The 18,674-nt window shown below is 41.8% G+C and overlaps 2 annotated features.

The window, feature by feature from the left end:
* Positions 5,445-6,644: an enhancer, noted in NCBI's record as "P300/CBP strongly-dependent group 1 enhancer chr1:32070860-32072059 (GRCh37/hg19 assembly coordinates)". NCBI's record gives its function as "activates an origin of replication core promoter dependent on BRD2, BRD4, P300/CBP, MED14 and CDK7 cofactors, with strong dependence on P300/CBP, by STARR-seq in HCT116 cells {active_cell/tissue: HCT116}" and the evidence as "EXISTENCE:reporter gene assay evidence [ECO:0000049][PMID:35650434]".
* Positions 17,726-17,795: a silencer, noted in NCBI's record as "silent region_571". NCBI's record gives its function as "represses an Ori minimal core promoter by ATAC-STARR-seq in GM12878 lymphoblastoid cells {active_cell/tissue: GM12878}" and the evidence as "EXISTENCE:reporter gene assay evidence [ECO:0000049][PMID:35858748]".

Below are 18,674 nucleotides of genomic sequence, written 5' to 3'. Positions count from 1 at the left end.
GTGTGATCCTGGGCATGCTATTTAGCTTCTCTATTTTGAGTTTCATTGTCTGTAAAAGGGGATGATATAGTACCCATCTGTGGTAGGGAGAATAATAGATGTCTGAGTCCTAATCTCTAGAATCTTTGAATGTTACCTTACGTGGCAAAAAGGACTTTGCAGAAGTGATTAAACTAAACATTTTGAGTTGGGGGTATTATCCTGGATTATTTGGGTGGGCTCCATGAAATCCAATGATCCTTATAAGAGGGAGGCAAGAGGTCAGAGTAGTGATAGGAGATGTGAGGATGGAAGCAAGTGGTCGTGGTGATAAGAGGAAAGGCCCACAAGCCAAGGAGTGCAGGTGACCTGTAGAAGCTGAAGAAGGCAAGGAAATGGATTTTCCTGAGTCTCCAGAAGGAAAGAAACACTGATTTTAGATGTCTGACCTCCAGAACTGTAGAAGAATAACTTTGTGTTGCTTGAAGCCACTAAGTTTGTGGTTAATTTGTTACAGCAGCAATAGGAAGTGACTACATATCCCCATTGGGTTAAATGAGTTAATACATGCAAAACACTTTGAAAGGTGCCTGATGGATACTTAGCATGTATATAACTGTTAGCTACTATTATAATATTTATGGCAAAACTCTTGGCCTAGGCTGGGTGGAGTGGCTGACACCTGTAATCCCAGCACTTTGGGAGGCCAAGGTGAGTGGATCACTTGAGGTCAGGAGTTCGAGACCAGCCTGCCCAACGTTGTGAAAGCCTGTCTCTATTAAAAATACAAAGATTAGCCAGGTGTGGTGGTACACACCTGTAAGACCAGCTATTCAGGAGGCTGAGGTATGAGAATCACTTGAACCTGGGAAGCAGAGGTTGCAGTGAGCCGAGATCATGCCACTGCACTCAAGCCTGGGTGACACAGCAAGACTCTGTCACAAAAATTAAAAAACTCTCAACTTACGTCAGAGATGGCTGGTCACGTCCATAATTCAACTAAGTGGAAAGGCACATCACTTCTGCTAACATCAAGTTGACCTAAATTTGGTCACCTGATCACATGTAGCTGCAATGGAGGCTGGGAAATATAATTTTTGTCTGGGTAGCCATGTCAGGTGGTGTCCAGCTGAGATGTAAGAGTTCTGTGACTAAAGATAGAGGAAGGGGTGGTTATTGAAGAACTAACAGCATCGGAAACAATTCCTACTATGAAAGACGAGTTTATGGCCGGGTGTGGTGGCTTACACCTGTAATGCCCATACCTGTAATCCCAGCACTTTGGGAGGCCAAGGCTGGCAGATCACTTGAGCCTAGAAGTTCAAGACCAGGCTGGGCAACATGGGAAAACGTCATCTCTACAAAAAATACAAAAAATTAGCTGGGCTTGGTGGCAGGTGCCTGTAGTCCCAGCTACTTGGGAGGCTGAAGTGGGAGGATCATCTGAGCCCAGGAGATTGAGGCTGCAGTGAGCTGTGATTGCACCACTGCACTCCAGCCTGGGCATCAAAGCAAGACCCTGTCAAAAAAAAAAAAAAAAAAAAAAAAAGGAAAGGAAAAAGAAAAAGAAAGAAAAGAGATGAACTTAGCAAAGGTAACTTCCCTCCAGAGTTTGGTTAGATACAAATATTTCCAGCTGTTTTTTCTTGTGCCATTAATTTCATGCACTATCTGTTAACTCCCCACTGTGTAAGACGAGACATCACTCTTGCTTTCTCTCCTAATTCCTTTTGCTAAACTGCTACATTTGCATCTAGTTCTATATCCATAATTAAAATGTTCTAGTTTTGTGTATTGTCTATCTCTGAATTTCAAATATTGAAAATCAATAAAGTGTTCTTAAACAATATTATGATTATATAAACATTATTCTCTACAGAGCCAAATAGAATCCTGGGACACATAGAGAAGGAACTATAATCTCACAGTTTAAATACTGCTCAAAGAGAAATGATCCAGGCTTCAAGCTCAAGTCTATTCTCCTCCACTCCCTCAGCTATTCAGAGTCATAAGACATTTTAATTCACTTCATATTTGGACCATGACTTTCTTACACAATTTCTTGTTCTCATGAAGTTTCTAATTGCTTTCCTCTTTTCTCCTTGAGAGAAGAAACATATGCCTTTTAAGTCAAGTCATTAAAATCTTCCAGCTTCTTAATTACATTATTTGTTGAATGAAGCCCATTTTCTTCCTAAAGACGTTCTTCTCCAAACCCTCTGACTTCCTGTTCTAATTTTGATGGATGGCTTTATGGACCTCTGGTATTTCTATTCACTGTGCTACTGGGTTAATTCCACTGTTTTGTGAATCTGTTATGTCTCTCTTTCTTGAATTATGTCCCTTTATCTCAAGTATATTTTCAAATAACATTTTTAAAAGGGGTGCATGGAAGGAAAGCTTTCTGAATCTTGGCATGTCTGAAAATGTCTTTAGGTTGTCCTTTCACTGACTGAGTTGGTGAGCATGAACCAGCAGGCTTAGGGTATGTGGCAGAGGGCAGATACACAAACAGACACTCCAGCCTCCACCCTGGGCCACATAAGGAGGGATTTACTCTAGACATCAACACTCCCTGTAGGCACTCTAGTCCTTAGGAAAAATATCACTCACTTTTTTTTTTCTTTTTTTTTTTGAGACGGAGTCTCATTCTGTCGCCCAGACTGGAGTGTAGTGGTACGATCTTAGCTCACTGCAACCTCCGCCTCCCAGGTTCAAGCAATTCTCCTGCCTCAGCCTCCTGAGTAGCTGCGACTACAGGCACGTGCCACCATGCCCGGCTAATTTTTATGTTTTTAGTAGAGATGGGGTTTCGCCATGTTGGCCAGGCTGGTCTTGAGCTCCTGACCTCAGGTGATCTGCCTGCCTCAGCCTCCCAAAGTGCTGGGATTACAGGTGTGAACCACTGTGACTGTCCAAGATGACTTAATTTTTTTAGAAAGCTGTTCCCTCTCTTTAAAAATCTCTCCCCTCCCTGTATGTTCCAGATGTCTGCATTTGTTAGGGGGTGGGGTGTTGATGGCAAATACTGGCTTGTTACTCACTAGGCTTTTACTTGAGTATTTTCTAAACTTTTGTTATTCTTATACCACATCTCAATTTTTGTGGCATCTTCTTGCTACTTTATTGTTATGTACTTATGTATGGTATGATGGTTAATATTAGGTGTCAACTTGATTGGATAAAGGGATGCCTAGATGGCTGGTGTTGTTTCTGGGTGTGTTTGTGAGGGTGTGGGCAGAGGAGATTGACATTTGAATTGGTGGACTGAGAGAGGAAGACCCACCCTCAATGTGGGTGGATGCCATCCTGTCGGCCGCCAGCAGCTGGAACAAGGCAGGTGGAATGAAGATGGGATAACTTTGTTTGCTGATGTTGAGCAACTTTTCATATGCCTGTTTGCCATTTGTATGTCTTCTTTTGAGAAATGTCTGTTCAGGTCTTTTGCCCATTTTAATCAGATTATTAGATTTATAGAGTTGCTTAAGCTCCTTATATATTCCTTTTTTTTTTTTTTTTTTTTTTTGTAGAGATGGAGTATTGCTGTGTCGCCCAGGCTGAGTGCAGTGGCTGATCTCAGCTCTCTGCAACCTCTGCCTCCTGGGTTCCAGCAATTCTCCTGCCTCAGCCACCCGAGTGGCTGGGACTACAGGCGCACGCTGCCATGCTCGGCTAATTTCTTTTGTATTTTAGTAGAGGTGGGGTTTCACCGTGTTGCCCAAGCTGGTCTTGAACTCCTGAGCTCAGGCAATCCTCTCGCCTTGGCCTCCTAAAGTGCTAGGATTACAGGCGTGAGCCACCGCGCCAGGCCGAGCTCCTTATATATTCTTGTCATTAATCCCTTGTTGGATGGATAGTTTGCAGGTATTTTCTCCTGTTCTGTGGGTTGTATCTTCACTTTGTTGATTGTTTCCTTTGCTGTGCAGAATTGTTTTAACTTGATGTATTCCTATTTGCCCATTTTTGCTTTGGTTGCCAGTGCTTGTGGGATATAATTCAAGAAATATTTTCCTATGTCTAATGTCCTGGGGAATTTTCTTGCAGCAGTTTCATGGTTTGAGGTCTTAAAGTTTTTAACTCATTTGATTGGATTTTTGTATATGGTGAGAGATAGGGGTCTAGTTTCATTCTTCGGTATATGGATATCCAGTTTTCAAGGGGGTCTCCTTTAAATAGTCCTTTTTCTCCTCACCCAGATTCTGACATGCTGGGAAAGAAAGCAAAATACGGGTTATGGAAGAACAATAGCCCTTTTATTGTTGATGATATAAAGTGGGGGCCTTAGTGGAGGACAAGAGCTAGAGTCTTCCCAGCTGAACCCCGTCACAGCCTCACTACCTACTAACAAGCATGACTTGATCCCACGCCCCATGTCATGGGCTCACAGCCTCGGTCATGCCTCTCCTGACCACTCTTGGAGTCCTGGTATGTCTGGCCTCATTGACAGAGTGGACTGAGTTTTTGCAGGAGCTGAAGAGACTACTGGAAGAGAGAATTTTTCTTACGGACCAAGGAGCAGGAAGCTGAGAGCTTGGCCCAGAAAACCTTGGTTATCAGAAGGGTGCAGTGGCTCACACCTGTAACCCCAGGACTTTGGGAGGCTGAGATGAGGGGATCACCTGAGGTCAGAAATTTGAGACCAGCCTGACCAACATGGTGAAACCCCATGTCCACTAAAAATACAACATTAGCTGGAGGTGGTGGTGGCGTGCATCTGTAATCCCAGCTACTAGGGAGGCTGAGGCAGGAGAATTGCTTGAACCCAGGAGATGGAGGTTACAGTGAGCTGAGATCATGCCATTGCATTCCAGCCTGGGTGACAGAGCAAGCTTCTGTCTTAAAAAAAAAAAAAGGAATAAATGGTATAAACCACTGGAGAGGAAGAAATAAAATGGTCATCTATATTTATAGATCATGTGATCGTCTACATAGAAAATCTAAGAGATTCTACAGACAAACTATTAAAACTGTTGAGAAGGTTCATGTTGAGAAAGAATTTTCCATGGGTCTGGTTCGTTTCTGGATGCCCTGCACACAGAGGCACTAACTGCCCTTTTGTTCTGGACTGTCTTCAAGGATGTTGGTATATCAACCATCTTTGGAACATATAGTTAGTGTGTCCTTCTTGAACAGGAGACTGATTACTGTCCGGCCTAATAATGTCTCCCTTTGTGATGTCAACCTAAAAAACAGAGAAAGAGGCTCTCTAAAAGAAAATGATATCTATTCGGGAATAGGCATTGCAATGGGAATATGTGTGCCATAGTATACTATATGCATATTCATGGAGATAAAGGCAAAAGATTTTGAGGGAAAAATGAGGAGGATTCCATCATTGTTCAAGATAATTATCCTTGGCTACAAGGATCAACAATAAGGACGGCACTAGTCTGAGGTTGGACAGGCAATTTCTGAGCAGATAGCCTTGCAGTATTTTGTGTGTAAGATTGTGATGGTTGTTGCAGTCTTTTGGGATAGTATTTGTTGTTGTTGTCGTTTTTTAGACAGGGTATCCCTCTGTTGCCCAGGCTGGAGTGCAGTGGCTTCATCACAGCTCACTGCAACCTCTGCCTCCCAAGCTCAAGTGATCCTTTTGCGTCAGCCTCCCAGGTATCTAGAACTACAGGCATGCACCACCACGCCTGGCTAATTGGGATAGTTCTTGTGATTGGGCAACTTGTGCGTGAGAGCTGTCTCTTCATGACCTTCTCCAGCTCTATTTGTCACTTTTAACAGAAGTGACTCCATTTTGATTCTGATAACTTTTACAGTAGCAGAGATCAGGGATTTCAGTTCCCTAAACTCAGGGTTCCTCTGCTATTATGCAAACTCATTGAATGTGCGTCATCTGTCTATACCACCCCCACTGCCCTCAACATCACTGTGGGACTTGGGGGGCAAGTGAAACTATTGACTCAGACATGAAACTGATGCTACTTCCTGGGCTGTGAGTAATAAAGTCCTTTGTCTCTGACCCAAGACTCTCAAGTCTTCTGCCAGCATCCACAATACTGTGACAGCTAAGGATCTGGGCTGGCCTCCTCCCACCTCTGCCTCCCAAAATGTTGGGATTACAGGCATGAGCCAACACGCCTGGCAAAAAGTTTTTAAGAATCAAAAAGTTTTAATAAAGTAAAAAAGTTACTGAAGCGAAGGTTAATTTATTTTTAAAGAAAATTTTAAAAACATATTTAGTGTAGCCTGAGTGTACAGTTTATAAAGTCTACAGTAGTGTATAGTAATGTGCTAGGCCTTCGCGTTCACTCACCACTCACTGACACTCAAGCAACTTCCAGTTCTGCAAGCTTCACTCATAGTAAGTGCCCTATACAGATGTACCATTTAAAAATCTTTCATAATATATTTTTATTGTAACCTCTCTATGTTTAAATATTTTTCGATACACAGCTACTCACCATTGCATTGCCTACAGTAACAGTATAATAACATGCTGTACAGGTTTGTATCCTAGGAGCAACAGGCTGTACCACGTAGTCTAGGTGTACTTGTAGTAGGCTATCTCATCTAAGTGTGGGTAAGTACACTCTGTGATGTTCACACAACAATAAAATCCTCTCTCGGAACACATCCCAGCTGTTAAGCAACAAACATAAAATGCTATTTATAAAAGACACCATTTATAAAAGCATTAAAAAAAACTATGGGATATCTTGGAATAAACCTAAGAGATAAGCAATATTTTTATGGAGAAAATTATACTTTCTTTTTCTTTTTTTTGAGATGGAGTCTTGCTCTGTTGCCCAGGCTGGAGTGCAGTGACACGATCTCGGCTCACTGCAACCTCCGCCTCAAGGGTTCAACAGATTCCCTTGCCTCAGCCTCCTGAGTAGCAGGGACTACAGGAGCCTGCCACCATGCCCAGCTAATTTTTGTATTTTTAGTAGAGACGGGGTTTCACCATGTTGGCCTGGCTGGTCTCGAACTCCTGACTTCAAGCAATCCATCCACCTCAGCCTCCCAAAGTGCTGGGATTACAGGCATGAACCACCATGCCTGGCCTAAAACTTTCTTGATGGTCATTCAAGAGACCCAGATAAATGGAGAAGTATAACTTGCTCATAGAAGAAAACACTTAATTGTAAAGATGTTATTTTTAAATTAACCTATAAATTTATTTTACTTTCAATAAGAGGTTCAAAGAAGAGTTTTTTAAAATTAATATCTTGGGAAACATGTCAAGCTTATCCTAAGGTCATATGAAAGAACAAATAGTTAAGAGTAGCCAAGGTAATTTTGAAGAAAATTAACAAAACGAGGAGAATCACCCTCCACATAACAAGATGTATACAACCAAAGTCATTAAGGCAGGGAGGTATTGGTAGAGGGATGTACAAATAACTGGATGAGATAGAGCTGAAAGCTCAGAAACAGAGCTATGCAGACTGGAAGTTCAACCTATGTCAGAGGTGGCATTTAAATCAATTCCCTCCAATACCTGGTGGTGGGAAAACTGGTTTTCCGTGTGGAAGAAAGAGAAGTATATACCTGTATCACACTGTTAACAAAACTCCCAAGGAATCAAGTCACCATGACTGAGAGCCAGCTAGAAACCATAAATAATAAACTTAGACCCCAAAGACTTCCGATATTGGATTTATCAAACATGGAATATAAAACACCATAATTGTGAATAAAATATTTTAGTAAATATAACATCAAATTACGAAAATGAGCAAGCAAAAAGATACTCTAAAAAATGATCAGGCAGGGCGGGCACAGTGGCTCACACCTGTAATCCCAGTACTTTGGGAGGCCAAGGCAGGAGGATTGCTTGAGCCCAGGAGTTTGAGATCAGCCTGGGCAACATAGCGAGACCTAGTCTCTACAAATAATAATAAAAAAAAATTAGTCGGTCATGGTGGCACACATCTGTGGTCCCAGCTACTCAGGAGGCTGAGGTGGGAGAATTGCTTGAGCCTAGGCGGTAGAGGCTGCAGTGAGCCATGATCATGCATGCCACTGCACTCCAGCCTGGGCAACAGAGGGAGACACTGTCTCAAAAAAAAAAAAAAAAAAAGTGATGAGGTAGATGTGGAAAAAAACAACTAAATAGAGACAATAGAAAGGAAAATGAGATACTGAAATTAAAGAAAAGAAAGAAAACCTGGTGTCTGGGCTGAGTATCAGGTGAGAAACAACATTATAATAGCCACAAGCTGGAAACAATCAGATATTTATCAACAAAACTATGTATGAGTAAGTTGTGTTATATTCATATAATGGAATAGTATACAGTGGTGAAAATAAACATATGATATTTATTCATAACAAAAAGAATAAATCTTAAAAAATGCAATGTAGAGTAAGAAAGCATGACAAAAATAATACACACTGTAAGATTCCATTTATATAAAATCCAAAAACAGGTTAAAACACATCTTTAGGCATGCACAGAGGACAAAGCCATAAAAAGTAAGCAAGACAATGATTACCATAAGGTCAGGGTAATGGTTTCCTTTAAGAGAGAAAGTAAGGGATTGTGATGGGATATACACAGGGAGCTTTTAGGAGTGCCTATCATCTTCTACTTTATGACCTGGGGGATTATGTAGATGTTTGCTTTATAATTGTTATTTAAGCTGTGCAATTGTATTTGATATGCCTTTCCATATTGTGCTGTATTTCACAATTAAAAAAATTTGAGGCCGGGCACGGTGGCTCGTGCCTGTAATCCCAGCACTTTGGGAGGCCGAGATGGGTGGATCACTTGAGGTCAGGAGTTTGAGATCAGCCTGGCCAACATGGTGAAACCCAGTCTCTACTAAAAGTACAAAAACTAGCTGGGCATGGTAGCAGGCATCTGTAATCCCAGCTACTCGGGAGGCTAAGGCAGATAATCACTTGAACCTGGGAGGCAGAGGTTGTGATGAGCCGAGATCATGCCACTGCACTCCAGCCTGGGTGAAAGAGGGAGTCCACCTAAAAAAAAAAAAAATATATATATATATATATGTATATATATATATACATATTTGAAAAGCACAGTAGGTTAGATATAGCTGAAGAGAAAGCTGAAAGACAGATATGAAGAAATTAACCAGAATTCAATAGAGAGAGACAAGGTGATGGAAAATAGAAAAGAATGTGATACAGGGGAAAAAATAATAGGATCTAACATGTTACTAAGCAAATTTCCAGAAAGAGGGAATAGAAAAGATGGAGGGCTGTTGAAAGACAAGAAGAATAGACATTTTTACCTGGACATATTGAATTGAAACTGGAAAACGCCAAAGCTGAATAAAAGCTATTGACAGCCAGAGAGGAAAAATAGATTATGTGCAAAGGAACTGCAATTAGGCAGACAGCAGATTTTGCAACAATAGCCCTTAAAGATAGAAGTCAGAAGAATGATATCTTCAAAATTCCTAGGGAAAAAAACTGTTCATTCGGAAACATGCACCCAGTAAAGACTATCATTCAAGAATGAGGATTAAAGTCATTTGCAAATTTAAAAAGCAAAGGGTTATGATCCAGTGAGTGCACTCTGGGGTGCTTATTCCAGAGAAATGAAACATTTTGTTCACACAAAACTTGCACATGAATGTTCATAGCAGCTTTCTTTGTAATAGCCCCAAACTGGAAACAACCCAGTGTTTTAGTATATGAATGGTTAAACAAACTATGGTACACCCATACCATGGAATACCACTCAGCAATGAAAAGGAAAGAGCTGTCGATACAACAGTCTAGATGGATCTCAAGGAAATTGTGCAGGGTGAGAAAAAGCCAAAAGACGGTCCCAAAAGGTTATGTGTACTGTGATTCCAGTTGTATAACATTCTTGTTATAACAAAAATTATAGAGATAGAGAACAGATTAGTGGTTGCCAGGGGTTGGGATGTTGGAGGGAGGGAAGTAGTAGTGGCTATAAAAGGGTAACCAGTTCCAATGATGGAATAGTTTGTATCTTGACTGTGATGACAGTCACACAAGTTTACATGTGCTAAAATTGCACGGAACCACACACACACACACACACACACAAACACACACACACACGTGCGTATAAAACTGGTAAAACCTAAATAAGATCAGTAGATTGCATCAATGTCATTTTCTTGGCTGTGCTATTGCACTATATTTATGCAAAATGTTACCATTGAGGGAAAGGGGATGTGAGGTATAAGGAATCTTTGTATTATTTCTTACAACAGCATGTCAATCTGCAATTATCTCAAAATGAAGTTTAAAAAAAATCTACCAACAGACTTACAGTAAAAGAATGTCTAAATATATACTTCAGAAAGGAAAAAAATGATCGAAAAAGATACCTGAGATGCAAGAACAAGTTTTGAGGAAATAAAAATGATAAACATGGAGATAAACCTAAACAAACATTGTATAGCATAATGATAATCATGATGGCAATTTGGGGGGCTGAAAACAAAAGGGACAGGACTAAAATGAAATTTGAATGTAAGGAGGAAGGGGGTGGCCATTGGAGCTGGAGTTTCCCAAGGACCTTGTATTGTTGGAAATAGGGTTGGAATATTAAATTTAGGCCTTGTTAAGTGTGCAGTGCAAAAATTTAAGGGGACCTACTCTAGGAATAGGAATAGAGTCAATAATTTCCAAATCAGTAGACAGAAAGGTGAAATAAGAAAACAAACAAAAGCTCAATCTACTTTTCAAAAAGGCAAGAAGGAAACCACAAAGTGGGACAAATTGAAAACAAAAAGCAACATGGTAGAGACAAGCCAAAAATAACACATTGACAATACACACTTAGAAGTGAGATGCTTCAAAACACCTCTTTTCATTATCGATTGACTAATCAGTAAAAAAATTAGTAAAGGTATGGAAAATTTGAACAACACAATTAACAAGCTTGATTTAGTGACATAAAGAGAATCCAACGCCCAATGCTTATTCTTCTCAAGTACACATGGAGCATTTACAGACATGGACCACATTCCAGGCAGTAAAGCAAGTCTTAATTTCAAGAATCACAGTGATACACACCATACTCTCTGGTCAAAATACCATTAAGAGTTGGTGACAAAGAGAAATAATACCCACATGTTTGGAAATTTAAAAACACATTTCTGGAAACAACCCAAATGTACATCAACAGTTGAATAGAACAATAAACTGTAATATATTTGTACAACGGAATGCTATACACCAAAACACATCACACACAAGCACACACACACAACCATTGTAACGGACAACAGGGATGAACCTCACAGACCTAATTTTGAGTGAAAGAAGCCAGAAAGAGTAGATACTCTCTAATTCCATTTGCATGAAATTCAAAAGGGACCAGAACTAATCTATGGAGATAGAAGTTGGAGTAGTAGTTACCTCTGGGGATACGGGGGAGGTTATGACTGGAATTCTGAAAATATTCTATATCTTGCTCTAACTTAGGAAATAAAAAAGAACAATAGAACAAACCTAGTGAAAGCAGAACAAAGGAAAGGATAAGAACAAAAATTAATAAAACAGAAAACAAAGGGGACTAATGAGCCAAAAGTTGGTTCTTTGAGAAGATAAAAAAAAATAGTCAAACCTCCGAGGCTGATTTGTTTTAAAAGGAAGGGCACAAATTAATAAATACTAAGAATGCAAATGATATGATAACTACAGACCCAGGAGAGATTGAAAAGATAAAAACAGAATGATCTCAATAACAATTTCTTTAATGTTATTATTTATTTCTCATTTCCATTTCTTTTTTTTTGACACGGAGTCTCGCTCTGTCGCCCAAGCTGGAGTGCAGTGGTGTGATCTTGACTCACTGCAACCTCTGCCTCCCGGGTTCAAGCAATTCTCCTGCCTCAGCCTCCTGAGTAGCTGGGATTACAGGTGCGTGCCACCATGCCTGGCTAATTTTTGTATTTTTAGTACAGATGGGGTTTCACCATGATGGTCAGGCTGGTCTTGATCCATGCTCTTCGGCCTCCCAAAGTGCTGGGATTATAGGCGTGAGCCACCGTGCCAGGCCTCCATTTATTTTTTATTTTTATTTTTTGAGACAGAGTCTTGCTCTTTCCCCAGACTGGAGTGCAGTGGCACAATCTTGGCTCGCTGCAACCTCTGCCTCCTGGGTTCAAGCGATTCTCCTGCCTCAGCCTCTGGAGTAGCTGGGACTACAGGAGCATGCCGCCATGCCCGGCTAATTTTTGTATTTTTAGTAGAGACAGAGTTTCATCCTGTCAGCCAGGCTGGTCTCAAACTCCTGACCTCAAGTGATCGGCCCACCTTGGCCTCCCAAAGTGTAGGGATTACAGGTGTGAGCCACCACGCCTGGCCACTTTTCCATTTCTTAATTCAGGTTTGACGTTACATCTTACAGACCCTTACCCATTACATCTGCATTTTCAAATTTATTTGTGTAATATTGTTTCTTATGATTAAAATTATCTGTAGTTAAATTCCTCTTTTCATTTCTTCTTTCTCTCTCTTTCTTTCTCTCTCTCTCTCTCTCTCTTTCTTTCTTTTGAGACAGAGTCTCTCTCTGTTGCCCAGGCTGGAGTGCAATGGCACAATCTCAGCTCACTGCAGCCTCTGCCTCCTGGGTTGAAGAGATTCTCCTGCCTCAGCCTCCCTAGTGGCTGGACTTACAGGCATGCACCACCACGCCTGGCTAATTTTCGTATCTTTAGTAGAGGTGGGTTTTCACCATGTTGGCCAGAATGGTCTCGAACTCCTGGCCTCAAGTTATCAGTCCACCTCAGCCTCCCAAAGTGCCGGGATTACAGGCGTGAGCCACTGCGCATGTCCTCCCCTTTTCATTTCCAATATTATTTGGGCCTTCTTTTTTTTTTTTTTCTCAGACTTGCTAGAAATAGATCTATTTTATTAGTCACTTGTTTTGACCATCTCTATTGTTTCTTTGTTTTCTGTTTTATTGATTTCTCTCTCTATTATTTCCTGCTATTTGGCGGGGGATGGGGTGCTGTTATTATATTGTCTTTTTCTGATTTCCTAAATTGGATGCTGAATCATTAATGTGTCATCTTTATTCTTATCAAATGTATGTATTTAAGAATATACATACATAGTCCCTCAAGGATTGCTTTAGCTATATTCAAACCTTTATCCAGCACTTTGGGAGGCCAAGGCGGGCGGATCACAAGGTCAAGAGATCAAGACGATCCTGGCCAACATGGTGAAACCCCCGTCTCTACTAAAAATACAAAAATTACCTGGGCGGGGTGGCATGTGCCTGTAGTCCCAGCTACTCGGGAGGGTGAGGCAGGAGAATCGCTTGAACCCGGAAGGCGGAAGTTGCAGTGAGCTGAGATCGCGCCACTGCACTCCAGCCTGGCGACAGAGAAAGACGGTCTTAAAACAAAACAAAACAAAACAAAACAAAAAAACAAAACCTTTGTATTCAGTTGTCTGATACTTATAAAGTGACACCAGCTTTCTGTTGCTTAGTATTTGCCTGATGCATTTAGCTGCAAGAAACAAAGGCCAACTACAGCGACTGAAACGAACTGATGTACTGAGATATTTTTGTTGTTGTTTTGTTATTGTTTTTATTTTCTTGAGACAGGGTCTCACTCTGTTATCAAGACTGGAGTGCAGTGGCACAATCATAGCTCATTGCAACCTCAAACTGCTGGGCTCAAGTGATCCTCCTCTCTCAGCCTCTCCAGTAGCTAAGAATACAGGTGTGCACCACATGCCTGGCTACCTTCCTTAGTTTTTGTAGAGACAGAGCCTTGCTATGTTGCCCAGGTGGGTCTCAAGCTCCTGGCCTCAAGCAATCCTCCCAACTCAGCCTTCCAAAGTGCTGGAATTATAGGCATGAGCCACCATGCCCGGTCAGTCATCCTTAAATTTTTAACATGTATACTTCAGGTTTAAAGTCTGAAGTTAATCAATTTCCACCTCTAGCACAACCTTAGAATGCTTTTGAACTCTGATCATAGTGTCCTGTCTGTCATTATATTGTTTTCCCTTTTTTTTTTTTGGCCATGCCTTATTTTTCTTTTTAATCAGCCTTTTAAATTTTTTTCTTATGAAGTCTCTGCTTGTTTGAATTGTCCACACTTAATGATTTTTTAATTCTCCGCTTCTTCTTACAAACCACTTCTTCCTTCTGAGTTTATCTCCTAGATTTTCCATATTAACTTAGTCCGATATCTTGCCAGAACCGGAGGTCCCCATGGCGTTTTCTTGTGATTTTTTAAAATCTTGATTGCATCTCTAGCCATAGCCTTCTTTTTGTTCCTAATATTGTCTATTTTGTGCTAATGATTTATTTATTTTATTAAGGTTTTAAAAAGACTCATCTCAACTTTAGGTTGTTTTCCGTATCATCCCTTTCTGCTTTATCTTTATTATTTCCTTTATTTTATTCTCTTGGGGTTTTCTGATACCTCTTCCTGGAGTCTTGAGTTGGATGCTTAATTCATTTGTTACCAATTCTTCCTGCTTTTAATAAACATATTTTCCCTCCAAATTTCACTTTAGCTTATTGTTATTCAGTTTTAAATATCTTGTAACTTCCACTATATTAATAATTTTCTTCCTAGCCTGTGAAGTACTTAGAAATGAATTATTAAGTTACTGAACATATTGGATTTTCTTGGCCAACTTTTTATTATTGATTTCTAATTTTATTATATTGGGATGAGAGGATGTGACTGATGATATTGATTCCTTGAACAAATTTTAGACTTTCTTTGTTGCCAACTAGGCAGCATTTTTAGAAAAATATTCCACATGAGCTTGAAAACAATGGGTATTCTTGGGTGGGGGTGTAAAATTTGTTTATCTAGTAGCTCAAGATCCTTAATTATATTGTACAAACTTCTGTAACCTTACTAATGTTTTGCTACTTGATCCATTGGTTTTAAGAAAGTTCGATTAAAATTTTCCACTTTATCTATAAATTTGTCTATAAATTCCACTTTGTCTATAAACTTCTTGCAGTTCTGCCAGATTTGCTTTATATGTTTCACCAAAATAAACATGTTCTGCGAGATACGTGTAAGTTCGTGATTATCATATCTTTTTGGCAGATGTTTCCTGTTATGAGTGTATCGGTTAGGTTATGGGTTCAGCTGCTGTTACAAAAGACCCTGGAAAAGAGAGGTCTAAATAAGATAGAAGGTTATTCCTTGTTCATGTAAAAGTCCACAGCCGTGATTCCCTGCCTTCTAGCTTCTCATGGGATTTGGTAAATGTGGAGCCTAGCAGATGACAGGGAGGGGAGAGCCAGGCTGAGGGGTTTATTCCCTAGCTTCCTCACTGACAGGCCACCTCTACTTTAAATGACTCCTTCAGAGTTCTGGTGACCTCTCTTACCCCTTGGCCCTGTAGGCCTAGGGGAAGTGACAACCAGGTCACCGCTAGCCCCAGAGTTCTGCACTCTCTCTGATGACCTCCCTAGACCCTTCTTTGTTATTCATCTTTTTGAAAATAAACTCTACCCCAATTATCCTAATTAGAGTTCACCATCTGTTTCCTATTGAGACCCTGTGTGAGTGAGGATGGCATGATGTTTTTAAAAGTCATTGATTCTGAATGCCTTTAGGCACATGTGCACTCTCCAATACATGCTGGACACAGACCCTGCTACTCCCTATTCTCTAACACTCCTGGCTTCCTCATGTATCTGCCAAGTCCCAATGGTATTTGAGGCTGAAACCCTGAGTTTATGGCCCCAGGCTAAGAAAGCCCACCACACCTAAGTCTCCAAAGCACCAGCCTGCCATGGGGAAAGGACCGTCCTCAGAGTCCATCAGGAATACCCTCCGTCCATCTGAACACAAGCCTCAGCTTGGTCACTGGTCCAACAGCCAAGCTGACTCTCCCTGGACAACACTCAGCATCCTGGGATCATGGAGACTCATCTTTGTCTGTGGATACTTCACTATTTTAGTTGAGTCAATATTTCCACCATGGTGCCTGCCAACTTCTGTAGGACCATTAAAGAAAAAATTATTCAATGATACCTGTGAAAGCATGATAAGGAAGATTTATTTCAGGACCATTTTGAGAAGTATAGGGACCACTGCAACAGGGATCTTGCAGTAGGGGAGAGAGACTGGGTTCGATTCTGAATACAGAATGGGAAAGTGGGAGTTTATAGTCATGGAGCAGGGTGGGGGCCAGTGGATGGAAAAATTACTAAGAAGCAACAGCAGGACTAAGGGGGATTCTGACTAAAATGACTTAACAGGATTCTTGCTGAAGACAGGCCTGGGTAAGCAGACATCACCTGGGGAAGGGTGGAAGATAAGCAACCTGATCAGATATCAAGGATGATCAGATGTAGAGGATGAGGTGTTCTGCCTAAATGGATTAAGTGGGGTTCTTTTGCTAAAACCTAATTTTACAAGGAAATGCTCAGATGGGCTTAGGAGAAGATTCAAGAGCCTGACTAAAGTTAGGCCAAGCAAAGAATCTTTCTCAGGAGCTGGAGTTAGCCTGGCCTTTTAAGGTGACTTTGCACATCCCTGTTGTCATTCATTAGATACTGATTTCTTTCTTTCTTTCTTTCTTTCTTTCTTTCTTTCTTTCTTTCTTTCTTTCTTTCTTTCTTTCCCTTCCTTCCTTCCTTCCTTCCTTCCTTCCTTCCTTCCTTCCTTCCTTCCTTCCTTCTTTCTTTCTTTCTTTCTTTCTTTCTTTCTTTCTTTCCTTTCTTTCTTTCTTTCTTTCTTTCTTTCTTTCTTTCTTTCTTTCTTTCTTTCTTTCTTTCTTTCTTTCTTTCTTTCTTTCTTTTTTTGTGAGACAAAGTCTCGCTCAGTTGCCCAGGCTGGAGTGCAGTGGTGCGATCTCAGCTCACTGCAACTTCCACCTCCCGGGTTCAAGCGATTCTCCTGCCTCAACCACCCGAGTAGCTGGGGCTACAGGTTCCCACCACCACACCCAGCTAATTTTTGTATTTTTAGTAGAGACAGGGTTTCACCCTGGTGGTCAGGCTGGTCTCAAACTCCTGACCTTGTGATCCGTCTGCCTTGGCCTCCCAAAGTGCTGGGATCACAGGCGTGAGCTGCCACGCCCAGCCTAGATACTGATTTCTTCAGTCCAGCTCTCAGTGGGCAAGCTTGTTTCTCCATTTCCTTATTTTTTTAATTTTTATTTTATTTTTATTTTTGAGACAGTCTTGCTCTGTTGCCCAGGCTGGAGTACTGTGGGATGGTCTTGGCTCACTGCAAACTCCGCCGCCTGGGTTCAAGCAATTCTCCTGCCTCAGCCTCCCAAGTGGCTAGGATTACAGGTGCCTGCCACCATGCCCGGCTAACTTTTTGTATTTTCAGTAGAGACAGGGTTTCACCATATTGGTCAGTCTGGTCTTGAACTCCTGACCTGGTGATCTGCCCGCCTCAGCCTCCCAAAGGAGGACTGCTTGAGCCTGGAAGGTCAAGGTTGCAGCAAGCCATGATCGTGCTACTGCACTCCAGCACTCCAGCCTGGGCAACAAAGCGAGGCCCTGTCTTTAAAAAAAAAAAAAAAAAAAAAAAAAGAGCCAAACTCAGACTCTCTTCTGGCCAGGCTGGAGCACAACATCTGGGTGAGAGGTGACAAGTGGGGCCGCAGCAATGAGTTGGCCTCTGGAGTCAGACCGACTGAGATCCATTCCCAGATCTGTCCCATCCTTCTTTGTCCCCCTGTGCCAGTCTCCAGGCCTCACAGAACAGTTTTGGCTCCAAAGAGTAAGACACGAACTCACAGCAGGTGCTCAGGTCTGAGAATCTGCACAGGTGGCTTCTCTCCACTACTCCTCTAGGCTGCAGCAGGGGGAGGTGTGGACTCAGCCACCAGGGGGCAGGGATGCTGCGGAGGTTGACACTGCTGAGATTGGTGCTGCCAAGTGAACATCCACATTCATTCGCTTCCTCCATCCTCCAGCAAACGGGTCTGGTGTCTCTTCCATGCCCAGTATAGTTTTAGGCAACACTGAGAGCAGAGAGAGTGAGGCACAGCCCTGCTCTCAGAACCCCACATCAGGAAGGGTATGGACAGCTCCCATGCTGGACTATGAAGGAGGAAGTGGTGTGAGAGTGGAGTCTCGATGATGGATGAGGGCTGTCCTGGGGAGTCAAAAAGGCTTCTCAATCCCAGCACTTCAGGAGGTGGAGGCAGGAGGATCACTTGAGCCAGGAGCTCTGAACCAGCCTGGGCAACATAGTGAGACCCCATCTCTAAAAAAAAAAAAATTTTTTTTTAAATTAGCCAGGTGTGGTGATATGCCTGTAGTCCCAACTATTTGGAAGGCTGAGGTAGGAGGATTGCTTGAGCCTAGGAAGTTGAGGCTGCAGTGAGCCATGATCCTGCCACTGTACCACTGTACTCCAGCCTGGGTGACAGCGAGACTCTCTCTAAAAAAAGAAAAAAAAAAAAAAAGCTTCTCAGAGGAGGAGGCTTTTGAACTTGACAAGATGAGCAGTGATTCGGCTTGCACTCTGCAGACCCTAGCACCTCCCTGCAGCCCCAGGCCAAGCCCACCTGAGTGTTACATAACCCCCACCACTGCCCCTCCCCTCAGTTGCACCTTCATCAGCAAATTCTGCAAGCCCCAAACTTCAGATCCAGGCTGTTTGTGCACAGAACTGGAGGCCAAAGAGCCTGCTTGGGTACAACCTGAAGAGTGGCTGTGTATACACCCAGACAGCTTAGAAAAAGCTCCGGCTTTGGAGTCTGACAAATGAGGTTGCCCACGACTTCCTAGCAATGTGTCCTCAGGCAAGTCACTTCTCTTCCCCCAC

The sequence above is a fragment of the Homo sapiens genome, chromosome 1 (assembly GCF_000001405.40).
Source record: "Homo sapiens chromosome 1, GRCh38.p14 Primary Assembly".
Lineage (NCBI taxonomy): Eukaryota > Metazoa > Chordata > Mammalia > Primates > Hominidae > Homo > Homo sapiens.
Note: the sequence above shows the minus strand (reverse complement) of the source record. Positions and strands in the feature narration are given on the sequence as shown.